The 16,011-nt window shown below is 39.4% G+C and overlaps 1 protein-coding gene across 23 annotated transcripts in view; it reads right to left on the bottom strand.

Annotated features, from left to right (window-relative positions):
- The window catches only part of CATSPERE (catsper channel auxiliary subunit epsilon), a 189,263-nt gene that overhangs the window by 139,975 nt on the left and 33,277 nt on the right, over nt 1–16,011 (bottom strand). For 17 of the 23 annotated variants that reach the window (XR_001737095.2, XR_001737096.2, XR_001737099.2 and 14 more), the window contains 2 exons: nt 10,059–10,083; nt 1,451–1,528 (listed from right to left, as the gene is read on the bottom strand). The exons of 4 other annotated variants lie outside the window; for them this stretch is intronic. Coding sequence is in view for 11 of the 19 variants with exons in the window: in XM_011544138.3 (XP_011542440.1) it covers nt 1,451–1,528; nt 10,059–10,083 (103 nt within the window). In the remaining 8 variants the exon portion in view is untranslated. The remainder of the gene's footprint in view (nt 1–1,450; nt 1,529–10,058; nt 10,084–16,011) is intronic. 2 more of the 23 variants (XM_047417115.1, XM_047417123.1) reach the window with 1 other exon arrangement.

Below are 16,011 nucleotides of genomic sequence, written 5' to 3'. Positions count from 1 at the left end.
AAACCTCACACAAAAATTAACTTAAGATGGATTAAAGACTTAAATGTAAAACCTAAAACCATAAAAACCCTAGAAGAAAACCTAGGCAATACCATTCAGGATATAGGCATGGGCAAAGACTTCATGACTAAAACACCAAAAGCAATTGCAACAAAAGCCAAAATTGACAAATGGGATCTAATTAAGCTAAAGAGCTTCTGCGGAGCAAAAGAAACTACCATCAGAGTGAAAAGGCAAACTACAGAATGGGAGAAAATTTTTGCAATCTATCCATCTGACAAAAGTCTAATATCCAGAATCTACAAGGGACTTAAACAAATTTACAATTAAAAAAACAACTCCATCAGAAAGTGGGCAAAGGATATAAGCAGGCACTTCTCAAAAGAAGACATTTATGCAGCCAGCAAACATATGAAAAAAAAGCTCATCATCACTGGTCATAAGAGAAATGCAAATCAAATCCATAATGAGATACTATCTTGCACCCAGTTAGAATGGCTATCATTAAAAAGTCTGGAAACAACAGATGCTGGTGAGGATGCAGAGAAATAGGAACGTTTTTACACTGTTGGTGGGAGTGTAAATTAGTTCAACCATTGTGGAAGACAGTGTGGCAATTCCTCAAGGATCTAGAACCAGAAATACCATTTGACCCAGCAATCCCATTAGTGGGTATATAACCCAAAGGATTATAAATCATTCTAATATAAAGACACATGCACACGTATGTTTATTGCAGCACTATTCACAACAGCAAAGACTTGGAACCAACCCAGATGCCCATCAATGAGAGACTGGATAAAGAAAATGTGGCACATATATACCATGGAATACTATGCAGTCATAAAAAAGGATGAGTTCATGTCCTTTGCAGGGACATGGATGAAACTGGAAACCATCATCTTCAGCAAACTAACACAAGAACAGAAAACCAAACACCACATGTTCTTACTCATAATTGGGAGTTGAACAATGAGAACACATGAACACAGGGAGGGGAACATCACACACCATGGCCTGTCGAGGGGTGGGGGGGAAGGGGAGGGAGAGCATTTGGCCAAATACCTAATGCATACAGGGCTGAAAACCTAGATGATGGGTTGATAGGTGCAGCAAACTACCATGGCACATGTATACCTATGTGACAAAACTGCACATTCTGTACATATATCTCTGAACTTAGAGTAAAATTTAAAAATAAATAAATAAAAAGAAAAAAGAAAATATGAAGAATGTTCAATTAGAGTTCTAAAGAAAGGTTTATTATTGTAGAGATTAAGCATAAGTTCAAAACTACTATAATGGCTAAACTAAAAGGGATCATGCAAATGTATTTAGTTAGGTGTGGGCAGCTTAAAATCCTGTCTATTGATTATAAATTTTTCACAGTCCCTACAAAAGAAAGGCAGCATTCTGTTCTTACTATGACGATACTAATGTTTCCACCTACTATTGAAGGTTCTTCTGCATTCCCCAGCAACTCATCAGGATCTGCACTTTCTGGATCATATGCCCACACAGTGATAAGCTAGAAAATAAAATTTGTTTGCATTTCTTTACATTTTGTACAAATTTCTTTTTTAGTTGTGGCAAAACATAACCATAAACATGTTTTTATTTTTTTATTTTTTTGAGATGGAGTCTTGCTCTGTCGCCCAGGCTGGAGTGCAGGGGTGCAATCTCAGCTCACTGCAACCTCTGCCTCCTGGGTTCAAGCAATTCTCCTGCCTCAGCCTCCCGAGTAGCTGGGATTACAGGCGCCCACCACCATGCCTGGCTAATTTTTGTATTTTTAGTAGAGACGGGGTTTCACCATGTTGGCCAGGTTGGTCTCAAACTCCTGACCTCAGGTGATCTGCCTGCCTTGGCCTCCCAAAGTGCTGCGATTACAGGCGTGAGCCACCACGCCCAGCCCATCTTTCTTTATAGCCATAAATAGACATGACAACCTCACCCCCCCACTCACATACTTTTTATAAAAATGAAATCACGCTTGTAACTTAACATTTGTCACTTGATGAGAGTTCAATAGATGCAGAACTAATTTTCTTTCTTATTTTTCTTGAATATTCATATACTTAAAAATTATATTAAAAATATAGCAAAAGCTGTCTCTCCCACCCTGTACTCCATCACTCAATTCCCATAAATCCATCTGCACCCCATAGGTAAGTATTATTCGTAAGTTCTTGCTTAGATTCCTATAAAATGTTTGTGTATAACCAATAGATATATTATTTTCATCCCTTTTACAAAATGCTAGCATGCTAAACATATTTTTTCTGAATCTTCTGTTCATCATCTAAAGTTATTTTAGAGATCTTTACATATTTTCACTGATTTTTCAGTTGGATGTTATTCTAAATTATGGAGGAACTACAATTTATTTAACCAGTAACCTACTGATAAACGTTTGTTTCTCCCTTGCCATTATAATCAGTCAATGCTACAATGAGCAACTTTGTACAACTTTGAGCATATTGGTAGGGCACATTCCTAAAAGTGTAATTGTTGAGTCATGGGGTAAATACACTGCAATTTTCATAGATACTGATAAACTGCTCTCTGCAGCAGTTGCACCAATATGCCCTCTCAGTGGTGATGTATGAGAGTTCTTCTTTCCTCATGTTCTTTCCCAACATCAGGTTTTGTCATACATTGATTACTGCCAGTCTGATGGATGAAAAATGGTACTGTGGTATCATTTTTTAAAATTTTTATTTATTTTTATTTGAGATGGAGTTTTGCTCTGTCGCCCAGGCTGGAGTGCAATGGTGCAATCTCACCTCACTGCAACCTCCACCTCCTGGGTTCAAGTGATTTTCCTGCCTCAGCTTCCCGAGTAGCTGGGATTACAGGTGCCCAGCACCATGCCCGGCTATTTTTTATATTTTTAGTAGAGATGGGGTTTCGCCATGTTGGCCAGGCTGGTCTCGAACTCCTGACCTCAGGTGATCTGCCTGCCTCGGCCTCCCAAAGTGCTGGGATTACAGGCATGAGCCAGCATATCCAGCCTGGTACTGCAGTATAGTTTAAATCTGCATTTCTCTTATTTTGAGAAAGTTTGAGCAACTTTCCATATGTTCAAGTTCCACTTGGATTTCATTCGCTCATTTTTTTTTTGTTGGATTGTTTCTCTTTTAATGGTTTATTTGAAATTTTTTTACGTATTAAGAAGACATTGATTTGTTTACTTGAATCAGTTGTATTTTTCTACCTGTATTCCATTTTCTTTTGAGTTTATGATAATTTTTGGCCATGTTATCTGTCATTTACTTATCTTCCAGCTTTATGGAGTAAAAATTATCATATAGCTTGGTTTGCTTTCTGGATTTTGTGATATAGTTAGAAAGGTCTCCAATTACCAGGTTGTAAGAGAATTCTTCCATGTTTTCTTTAATTGTTACTGGATTTATTGTATTTACATATTCAATGTAAAATTATTTTGAATTTATTTTGGTGTACTATGTAAGGTATGACTCCAATCTTTGCTTTTTATTAAGTAAGTGTGACTACCCACTTATCTAAATATCATTTATTGACTAGTCCATCTTCTCCCCAGGGATTTGAGATGCTACCTTCATTGCTTAGTAAAGACCTAACTGTATTTTGGTTATTTCTGGATTCTTATGCTTTTGTATTGATCTTGACTGCCTTTTCAAGAGTTAGTATCTCACACTTTAAATATGAAGGCTTCACTGTGTATTTCAATGCCTGCCATGACCAGTACCCTATCCCTGTTCTTATTCAGTGTTTTTCTGAACACTGTTTTTGTTTAATCCATAGCAATTCTGGAAACATCTTGTCTAGTTCTGAAAAAGTATATTTTTTTCATTAAGATGGCATTGCATTTATAAATTCAGGAAAATCCGTATCTTTATGTTGTAGAGGACATTTATTAAGGAAATAGTATGCCTTTCCTTCAGGAGAGTTCTGAAGTTTTGTCATATAGGTATAATGCATGTTATTAAGTAAAACTCCCATGTGAGACATTGACAAGTGGAGAGAATTATCTTTGCTTTTGTACTCTTTCAGATTCAAATCAGATACACCAGCTCACACATGAGTCAAAAGTTCAACTGGTTTCACCTCATCCCAGCCAAGTCTACCCATCCATCATTGGCCAGTTTGCTCTTCTGTCCTGCCTCCAACCTTAGCTAGTGGTCCTAAGCGTGAAAACACTCTCAGGCTTTTGTTCACCTAGCAAGGACTCATTCTTCTGGAATGTAACACCTTTAGATTTCATTTTACTCACAGCTCTTTGATTCTTTAAAGGATTTTAAAATTTTATCATGTGATTTCTTTTTAAAGCAGGAGTAAAGGTGTTTTGTGTCCTTTACTATCTGCCTGGAGGTCTTAATTGTTTAGTTTAAACGATTGGTTTCTTTTTTGGCCCATGGATACAGAAATGTTTAAATTCCCCAACATGGGGATTTTCTAGGTAATTTTGTTACTGATCCTTTTTTGTTTTTGTTTTTGTTACTGATTTCACACGCCTGAATATAAATCAAAACTCAGCAAGGTCACGTCATGGAAATAGGTTTTGCAATCACTTCCGCCTGGGCGCTATGTGTTTGACTGCTTGCAAAGTTGTATTTGTATTTATTTCTTAGCTGTAGGTTCCGAATCTCTTGGGCTGTTAAATTAGGATGTGCATCTGAAATCTGGGTAATCCCTTATCTGTTTACAGCCCCAAAAAGAGGTGTATCATTTCTTTGTAATTATCCTAAGCCAGTCAGTAGAGCTTTACCAGTCCCCATTTTACAGACATTTATACATTTTAAATATTTTATTATTATTATTATTTTTTAAGATGGAGTCTCGCTCTGTCGCCAGGCGGGAATGCAGTGGCGCAATCTCGGCTCACTGCAATCTCTGACTCCCTGGTTCAAGTGATTCTCCAGCCTCAGCCTCCCGAGTAGCTGGGATTACAGGCATGCACCACCATGCTGAAATAATTTTTGTATCTTTAGTAGAGACTGGGTTTCACTGTGTTGGCCAGGATGGTCTCAATCTCCTGACCTCATGATCTGCCTGCCTCAGCCTCCCAAAGTTCTGGGATTTGTACAGGCGTGAGCCACCGCTCCTGGCCAAGACATTTTCTAAATCCTAACTTCATATAGGGAGGTTAGTTTCAGCTCCCTTTACTCCCACAGGCCGAAACTTTCATTCCCTATTCCCATAAAATCATTAAAACATCACCCCTTTTTCACTACTTTTAACTATAAAATAAAACAAAAAAGGAATAATATTCATTTGTATGTTTAGTTGTATATTTTCTAGAAAGCTCACATTCTGTTCTAATTCAATCTTGCAACTCTGGCTTTGAGTTCCTTAATTATTTCTGACCATCAGGAAATTCCTTTTCCTGCTCTTAAATTCCATATGCACACCGCACCTATATTAACGTAAAGGTCTGTGAGTGTGTGTACTGGCAGTGTACACACATATATTTTCTATAGGCATTTCTGTGTTTTGAGTGAGAAGGAGGTTATTCTGCATTATTTGAGTCTGTAATATATATTCTACTTCTGTAAGTTCTCTTATATTTTCTATGTATATTAAAATTCCTTAATTACTGATAATATTATTATTTGCTTTTGAGCATTGTTATAGTTGTAGCCTCAAAAAATAATTCCGTAATATCAATGGGATTTGGAGTAGGAGTAGTTATGGGCACATGAGCTTACGCAATCATCTTGATCCACTACACACAGTTTATCTTTTTTTACTACTTCTTTTTTTCTGGTAAGTTGCTGCTTTTAGAGACTTACAATATCTATATAGAGGTGTAATTTCCAAATATTATAACCTTATTTCAATTTTCAACATTTTGAATATATCTTTCCATCACACTTCTAATCATCCTCTATTCCAGAATTTTAAAACTTTTTGATCTTAGGACCCCCTTCATACTTTTTTTTTTTATTATACTTTAAGTTTTAGGGTACATGTGCACAATGTGCAGGTTTGTTACATATGTATACATGTGCCATGTTGGTGTGCTGCACCCATTAACTCGTCATTTAGCATTAGGTATATCTCCTAATGCTATCCCTCCCCCCTCCCCCCACCCCACAACAGTCCCCAGAGTGGGATGTTCCCCTTCCTGTGTCCATGTGTTCTCATTGTTCAATTCCCACCTATGAGTGAGAATATGCGGTGTTTGGTTTCTTGTCCTTGTGATAGTTTGCTGAGAATGATGGTTTCCAGTTTCATCCATGTCCCTACAAAGGACATGAATTCTTCATTTTTTATGGCTGCATAGTATTCCATGGTGTATATGTGCCACATTTTCTTAATCCAGTCTATTGTTGTTGGACATTTAGGTTGGTTCCGAGTCTTTGCTATTGTGAATAGTGCCGCAATAAACATACGTGTGCATGTGTCTTTATAGCAGCATGATTTATAATCCTTTGGGTATATACCCAGTAATGGGATGGCTGGGTCAAATGGTATTTCTAGTTCTAGATCCCTGAGGAATCGCCACACTGACTTCCACAATGGTTCAACTAGTTTACAGTCCCATCAACAGTGTAAAAGTGTTCCTATTTCTCCACATCCTCTCCAGCACCTGTTGTTTCCTGACTTTTTAATGATCGCCATTCTAACTGGAGTGAGATGGTATCTCATTGTGGTTTTGATTTGCATTTCTCTGATGGCCAGTGATTGATGAGCATTTTTTCATGTGTTTTTTGGCTGCATAAATGTCTTCTTTTGAGAAGTGTCTGTTCATATCCTTCACCCACTTTTTGATGGGGTTGTTTGTTTATTTCTTGTAAATTTGTTTGAGTTCATTGTAGATTCTGGATATTAGTCCTTTGTCAGATGAGTAGGTTGCAAAAATTTTCTCCCATTTTGTAGGTTGCCTGTTCACTCTGATGGTAGTTTCTTTTGCTGTGCAGAAGCTCTTTAGTTTAATTAGATCCCATTTGTCAGTTTTGGCTTTTGTTGCTGTGGCTTTTGGTGTTTTAGACATGAAGTCCTTGCCCATGCCTATGTCCTGAATGGTATTGCCTAGGTTTTCTTCTAGGGTTTTTATGGTTTTAGGTCTAACATGTAAGTCTTTAATCCATCTTGAATTAATTTTTGTATAAGGTGTAAGGAAGGGATCCAGTTTCAGCTTTCTACATATGGCCAACCAGTTTTCCCAGCACCATTTATTAAATAGGGAATCCTTTCCCCATTGCTTGTTTTTCTCAGGTTTGTCAAAGATCAGATGGTTGTAGATATGTGGCAGTATTTCTGAGGGCTCTGTTCTGTTCCATTGATCTATATCTCTGTTTTGGTACCAGTACCATGCTGTTTTGGTTACTGTAGCCTTGTAGTATATATAGTTTGAAGTCAGGTAGCATGATGCCTCCAGCTTTGTTCTTTTGGCTTAGGATTGACTTGGAGATGCGGGCTCTTTTTTGGTTCCATATGAACTTTAAAGTAGTTTTTTCCAATTCTGTGAAGAAAGTCATTGGTAGCTTGATGGGGATGGCATTGAATCTGTAAATTACCTTGGGCAGTATGGCCATTTTCACGATATTGATTCTTCCTACCCATGAACATGGAATGTTCTTCCATTTCTTTGTATCCTCTTTTATTTCATTGAGCAGTGGTTTGTAGTTCTCCTTGAAGAGGTCCTTCACATCCCTTGTAAGTTGGATTCCTAGGTATTTTATTCTCTTTGAAGCAATTGTGAATGGGAGTTCACTCATGATTTGGCTCTCTGTTTGTCTGTTATTGGTGTATAAGAATGCTTGTGATTTTTGTACATTGATTTTGTATCCTGAGACTTTGCTGAAGTTGCTTATCAGCTTAAGGAGATTTTGGGCTGAGACGATGGGGTTTTCTAGATATACAATCATGTCGTCTGCAAACAGGGACAATTTGACTTCCTCTTTTCCCAATTTAATACCCTTTGTTTCCTTCTCCTGCCTAATTGCCCTGGCCAGAACTTCCAACACTATGTTGAATAGGAGTGGTGAGAGAGGGCATCCCTGTCTTGTGCCAGTTTTCAAAGGGAATGCTTCCAGTTTTTGCCCATTCAGTATGATATTGGCTGTGGGTTTGTCATAGATAGCTCTTATTATTTTGAGATATGTCCCATCAATACCTAATTTATTGAGAGTTTTTAGCATGAAGGGTTGTTGAATTTTGTCAAAGGCCTTTTCTGCATCTATTGAGATAATCATGTGGTTTTTGTCTTTGCTTCTGTTTATATGCTGGATTACATTTATTGATTTGCATATGTTGAACCAGCCTTGCATCCCAGGGATGAAGCCCACTTGATCATGGTGGATAAGCTTTTTGATGTGCTGCTGGATTCAGTTTGCCAGTATTTTATTGAGGATTTTTGCATCAATGTTCATCAAGGATATTGGTCTAAAATTCTCTTTTTTGGTTGTGTCTCTGCCAGGCTTTGGTATCAGGATGATGCTGGCCTCATAAAATGAGTTAGGGAGGATTCCCTCTTTTTCTATTGATTGGAATAGTTTCAGAAGGAATGGTACCAGCTCCTCCTTGTACCTCAGGTAGAATTGGGCTGTGAATCCATCTGGTCCTGGACTTTTTTTGGTTGGTAAACTATTGATTATTGCCACAATTTCAGAGCCTGTTATTGGTCTATTCAGAGATTCAACTTCTTCCTGGTTTAGTCTTGGGAGAGTGTATGTGTCAAGGAATTTATCCATTTCTTCTGGATTTTCTAGTTTATTTGTGTAGAGGTGTTTGTAGTATTCTCTGATGGTAGTTTGTATTTCTATGGGATCGGTGGTGATATCCCCTTTATCATTTTTTATTGCATCTATTTGATTCTTCTCTCTTTTCTTCTTTATTAGTCTTGCTAGCGGTCTATCGATTTTGTTGGTCTTTTCAAAAAACCAGCTCCTGGATTCATTAATTTTTTGAAGGGTTTTTTGTGTCTCTATTTCCCTCAGTTCTGCCTGATTTTAGTTATTTCTTGCCTTCTGCTGCCTTTTGAATGTGTTTGCTCTTGCTTTTCTAGTTCTTTTAATTGTGACGTTAGGGTGTCGATTTTGGATCTTTCCTGCTTTCTCTTGTGGGCATTTAGTGCTATAAATTTCCCTCTACACACTGCTTTGAATGTGTCCCAGAGATTCTGGTATGTTGTGTCTTTGTTCTCGTTGGTTTCAAAGAACATCTTTATTTCTGCCTTCATTTCGTTATGTACCCAGTAGTCATTCAGGAGCAGGTTGTTCAGTTTCCATGTAGTTAGCGGTTTTGAGTGAGTTTCTTAGTCCTGAGTTCTAGTTTGATTGCACTGTGGTCTGAGAGACAGTTTGTTATAATTTCTGTTCTTTTACATTTGCTGAGGAGAGCTTTACTTCCAAGTATGTGGTCAATTTTGGAATAGGTGTGGTGTGGTGCTGAAAAAAATGTATATTCTGTTGATTTGTGGTGGAGAGTTCTGTAGATGTCTATTAGGTCCGCTTGGTGCAGAGCTGAGTTCAATTCCTGGGTATCCTTGTTAACTTTCTGTCTCGTTGATCTGTCTAATGTTGACAGTAGGACCCCCTTCATACTTTTAAAAATTATTAAGAATCCTACAAGGCTTTTGTTTTATGTGGTTTAGATCCACCTGTATTTACTATATAACAAATTAAAATTGAGAACATTTAAAGATAATTTTTTTTCAAGACTATGGTAAATTTATTATATGTTAATTAACGTATTTTTATGAAAAATAACTATTTTTCAAAAGAAAAATATCAGTAAGAATGGATGCTCAATATTTTAAAAACTATCTTTAATATTTGTATTAATAAAAGACAGCTGGATAATCATCTCTGCTCCTTCAGCCAAGTTGTTGGTGAATATTATCTCGGTAGAAGTAAAAGGGGGGAAGATCCATCCTTATGCAGATAGGTGGTTAGAAAAGGGTGAACCTCATGGACCTCCTGAATGGGTCTTATAGAAAGGTATACTCTAAGCAAATATCATTGCAAAATTCATTTGAAAAATTCCTCATCTGGTAAATATGGAAGATAAGAGAGAAACAATATACTAGTGATATATGAAGGCTATACAAAATTTAAAAAATATTTTACCTGGGTAAAGTTGTTAAAGAAATGTCTGCTTGGAAAAAGAGGAAACATATTTTAGTAAACAGCCTGTTAAACATTAGGTCGAATATTCTACTTTCAAGATACATGTTTCTAAACCTTTGCATATTCTCTTTATATTTCATTACGGTATATAAAATTAAAGGCTAAATGTAAAAACAAAAAATCACATGTCTATTTATTTATCAATATCGTTACTGATTCTCATTTGTCATCACAGAAGGCTGAGTGGCTTAAATCTGCATGCTTCCTGCCTCAATAACATCACCAAAACCGCTCACGCTAAGATTAATAATGACCTTGAAGTTACGAAATGAATATTTCAAAGTCCTCATATGATTTTAACAAAAAGCATCATTTGTCCTTGTTGATCACTCTTTGCTTCTTGAAGTACCCTCCTTACCCTCTCCTGTTCATCCTCACACATTTCTAACCACTTTACAATCTCCACTGAATGCTCGTCTGCCAACAATAACCTGTTAAATGTTGAGGTTTCTTAATACTCAGTGCTAATCTATTTCTTTTCTCATTGATGCTCTCTCCCAGTAACCAGTACGGCCAATTTGCTAGCTTGCTTTAAAAAGTAATCCCTCCCTCATTTTTTTTTCTTGCTATACATATATCTAACTACGTGTTTGCTTGAGAATTCCAAAGGCTAATCTTAAAGCAACTCAGGCGTAAAGTGGAGATGGCAGTTAAAGTTTTCTCCCTTCTGAGAAGAAATTGGTGCACAGTTAATCCATACCCTGACCTAAGCAAGTTGACACCAAGGCCTCCAGAGGGTTCATTATTCAAGACAGCCACTGGAAAATGACAAGCAGACCTGCAACCTACATCACTCCTGCACATAGTTTCCATGCCGCCTTCCTCTTCAAACCCCATTAGCCAGCCTGAGAATTTGAGATGGCTTTTTGAGACCTGACTCCAGCTGTCTCTTCAGCTGCTAGCACTTCAATAAACCTCTTTCTTTCCACCAAAAAAAAAAAAAAAAAAAAAAAAAAAAAAATCTGCATGCTTCCTTAATACTGCAAGTTCACAGAATCAAAACTTCATGATTAATCTTCTTTAAAATGTTGATATTGTCATTCTGCATAAAAAACCCTACAGTCTTTACATGTTATAATTTATGTCAAACAGAAATTTGTCTTTTAGCATGACAAATCCTTCCCTCACCAGCCCTGAAAGGAATAACAGGCCGGGCCTGGTGGCTCACACCTGTAATCCCAGCACTTTGGGAGCCCGAGGCAGGAGGACTGCTTGAGCCCAGGAGTTTGAGACCAGCCTGGGACACATAGTAAGAACGTGTCTCTATTTTTAATTATAAAATAAAAAAGGACTAATATTCATTTGTATGTTTAGTTGTATGTTTTCTAGAAAGTTTTTTTCACTGTAAAGTTACCTGCATATTTTTAGCATTTATCATCTCTAAAAGTCAGTGCCTCATGACTATGTCCTTCCATTTGCTGATTACTGCAGTGTCTAGTACATTATCATGCACAAAACAAAATGAAAATGTTTTGGGAATCAGTAAATGAGTATGCAGTGAGTTTCTGAGACCATATAATGAATATTCTATTTCATGTGTTCAATCTGATATGTTAGAAAGCTGCTGAAAATAGCTACTATATATCTTAATAGGTAAACTATGCCCAGAGTTCAACACAGTCCAAGGTTGATTAAAAAGACCCCGGCTCCAGGGCTGATACCTTCTGCCTTGTGTTATGCTTACTTGTCAGAGGCACAGGGAAGAAGAACTGAGTCACTGAGTGAGTTACCAGCGTATCTGGAAGGAAAATTTGAAGGCAAAAGGAAATACTTGTCGATAATAAAAGAAAGGCTTTCGTATTAATACAGTAACCTTGTAGAGAAGGAATCAGTATCAGCTGACATTAAAGTGACAGTCTGAATTTCCATGGAAAGACAATATTAGCAGCATTCTTCTGGGTCTTTATCAGTTTTCTTGGCTTTCTTGAGTTAGTGCACAGGCTGAAGTGTAGAGTTGAGAATAAGACCGAAGAGAAAACCCTGGATTGAATTGACATTTAAGGTAAGGACAGATGACAGAAAGCCAAAGGAAAAGACTGGGAAAAAACCATTATGGAAATAGAACATAGTGGTATTAGGGAGTGAAGGAATGAAAGAGTTTCAAAAAGAAAGTGATTCTCAGAATTAAATGTGGTATAGAAATTAAGTATTACAGTAAGAGGATCAAAAAAATCCCATCGAATTTGGCAATTACCTTCAGTGACTTTGCCACAGCAGTTTCAGAAGACAGAGAGATAGTAGTGGGATACAGTGATGAAACAGAAAAATGTCACAGTGAACTTGGGAAGACTAGTTTCAGCACAACTCCATGGATCCTTTTCCCTTTTTATTAACTCTTGAGAGACAGAGAAAGAAGAAAGCAAGAGAGTTTGGATGTTAACATGATAATTGTTCATGAATTCTTTCTAGTGTCAGAACTCTGGTTTGGGGGCAGAGTCAATAGGTGTCGAGAGCCTGGGGAAAGAGGCAGTGCTTAGAAGGGTCCTGTACTCTACAGTATTTATCTTGAAATTGTTAACAAATTTATCTTTGAAATTATGTTTTGTAAGCGAAGTGTGATGAGACAATGAAGCATGCACTGGGGACGAGGGGTTTTGGCTCCCGTACAGTCCCGCCTCCTGCTGCCTCTCTGCCTCCCTGGGATGGATTATTTACCCCTGATTCCCCTCCATGCTCTGGCACCTTGGGTCCTGACCAGCCTTCCCCTCCTTAATCCCTGTCCCACAAGCTGCTTCTGTCTTTGACCTGGGTGAGGGCCTAGGCTCAGGTGTTGGGGGATTGTCGGGGTAGGGCAACTGCACGCTGCAGTGTCCTGGAGTAAGGCACGTTAGCGGCTGTCCCATGCTGGCTGGCAGCACCATGGCATAATGATGGTGATGATGGCGTGGCTTACTCATCTTGGCAGGAGTAAACCTCTTGCCTCCCCCTAATCCAGGTATCTAGCATGGCCCAGTGTAGAGGCTGCAATACCCTCGGGGGTTGAGGTGGGAGGCCCATGAAGGGAAGCTACACGGCTTGACTACCTCAGACCCCTCCACTGGCTGGGCATGATGTGTAGGTCTATTGAGAAGGGAAATATGGCGGCTGGTGGGCTGTGCACATGTTGAACCACCCACCAGGTGACTAGAAGGGTCTGTACCTGGCCCATAAGTATTCCACATGCTGAACCACCCACCAGGTGATTACGAGGGTCTGCACCTGGCCCACAACTATTCCACATGCTGAACCACCCACCAGGTGACTACGAGGGTCTGTATGTGGCCCACGAGTATTCCACACGCTGAACCACCCACCAGGTGACTACGAGGGTCTGTACCTGGCCCACGAGTATTCCATATGCTGAACCACCCACCAGGTGACTACGAGCGTCTGTACCTGGCCCACGAGTACCCCACATGCTGAACCACCCACCAGGTGACTACGAGGGTCTACACATGGCCCACGAGTACTCCACATGCTGGACCACCCACCAGGTGACTACGAGGGTCTACACCTGGCCCACGAGTACTCCACATGCTGGACCACCCACCAGGTGACTACGAGGGTCTACACCTGGCCCACGAGTACTCTACATGCTGGACCACCCACCAGGTGACTACGAGGGTCTACACCTGGCCCACGAGTACTCCACATGCTGGACCACCCACCAGGTGACTACGAGAGTCTACACCTGGCCCACGAGTACTCCACATGCTGGACCACCCAGCAGGTGACTACGAGGGTCTATACCTGGCCCACGAGTACTCCACATGCTGGACCACCCACCAGGTGACTACGAGGGTCTACACCTGACCCACGAGTACTCCACATGCTGGACCACCCACCAGGTGACTACGAGGGTCTACACCTGGCCCACGAGTACTCCACATGCTGGACCACCCACCAGGTGACTACGAGGGTCTACACCTGGCCCACGAGTACCCCACATGCTGGACCACCCACCAGGTGACTACAAGGGTCTGTACCTGGCCCACGAGTATTCCACACGCTGAACCACCCACCACGTGACTACGAGGGTCTGTACCTGGCCCACGAGTACCCCACATGCTGAACCACCCACCAGGTGACTACAAGGGTCTGTACCTGGCCCACGAGTACCCCACATGCTGAACCACCCACCAGGTGACTACGAGGGTCTACACTTGGCCCACGAGTACTCCTTGTCTAAGGGAGCATGATGTTAAATTGCAAATAAAAAACACCATGACAGGTAGTGAGAGTGACTAAAGGAGAAAAAAGCTTTATATTTGATATCTTTAACAGTATTTCCCCCCTGCTTTCTGAGCAAGAGACCCCCACACTTTCATTTTACACCAGGCCTCACAAATTTATGTAGCCAATTTTGGATGTAATGATGCAGAAATGGCAGAAGAGTATAGCAATTACCTCTGGGTAAAAGGATTTTAGGGATTACAAAATTTAGATAGAGGCCTGGTGTGGTGGCTCCCAGTGCTTTTGGAGGCCAAGGCAGGAGGATTGCTTGAGGCCAACAGCTTGAGACTACCTTGGGCAACAAAGTGAAACCCTGTCTGTACAAGAAAAAAAAAAAAGATGGAGCACAGTGGTGTGTGCCTGTAGTCCCAGGTATTCAGGAGGTAGAGGTGGGAGGAGTGCCTGACACCAAGAGTTTGAGGTTACGTGAGCTACGATTGCACTACTGCACTCCAGCCTGGGTGACAGGACAAGATCCTATCTCAAAAAAAAAAAAACAAAAAAAACAAAATTTAGACATGGATAATGAGATAATTAGTGAACTGAATGAAACACTTAAAAAATAACCAAGAATGAATCACAACGAGACAGAAAGATGGAAAAAGTTAACAAGATTTTAAGAGTCAGGAAGGACAGAATTAAAAGGTGATATACATTTCTCTTAAGAAAATCTAGAAAGAAAAAAAAAGAATAAGGGAGAACGAATATTTAAAAAGATAGGCCAGGCACAGCCACTCATGCCTGTAATCCCAGCACTTTGTGAGGCTTAGGTGGGTGGATCACCAAGGTCAGGAGTTCGAGACTAGCTTGGCCAACATGATGAAACCCCATCTCTACTAAAAATACAAAAATTGGCCAGGTGTGGTGGTGGGTGCCTGTAATTCCAGCTGCTAGGGAGGCTGAGGCAGGAGAATCACTTGAACCCATGAGGCAGAAGTTGCAGTGAGCTGAGATCATGCCACCTTTCTCCAGCCTGGGCAACAGAGTGAGACTCTGTCTCAAAAAAAAAGAAAAAAAAAGAAAAAGAAAAAAGACAATGTGAATTTTCCAGAATTGATGAAAGACACCAATATTCAGATTCAGGAACTGCAATACATCTCAAAAGAAATATACAATAGTAAAACACCAAAGATAAGGCAAGATCTTAAAACGACCACAGAGAAAATATAGATTACCTAAAATGGAAAAACCATTTGAAAGACAGCCGACTTACCAACTGAAGTCGAAGCTAGACACAAGAAAAAATAATTTTAAAGCACTGAGAGAAAACAGCAAGCAACCTATAATCATATTCCCAGAGAAATGACTTTTCCAGAGTGAGGATAAAATAAAGATATTTTCAGAGGCATGAATACTGAGAAATTTAATCACTAAGAAATCTTCCCTAAAGGAACCGTTAAAGGATATACTTCAGGAAGAGAAGGTAATATGAGAAAACATGTCTGAGAATATAAGCATTGTTGAGCAAAGAAATGATAGGTCTGTGGATAAATCCAAATAAATATTGACTGAAAAATGTCCAATATGAAGGATAAACAAACAACTAGAAAGCACCAAAATGATGGTAAGGAGTAAGCCATAAACCGGGAAGGGAATATTTGGAGGTAAAATTCCTACTAATTCTAAAGTTTGCAACACCAATTACAATTGCACCAAAAACATAAAATACTTTAAAATAAAT

The sequence above is a fragment of the Homo sapiens genome, chromosome 1 (genome assembly GCF_000001405.40).
Source record: "Homo sapiens chromosome 1, GRCh38.p14 Primary Assembly".
NCBI lineage: Eukaryota > Metazoa > Chordata > Mammalia > Primates > Hominidae > Homo > Homo sapiens.
Note: the sequence above shows the minus strand (reverse complement) of the source record. Positions and strands in the feature narration are given on the sequence as shown.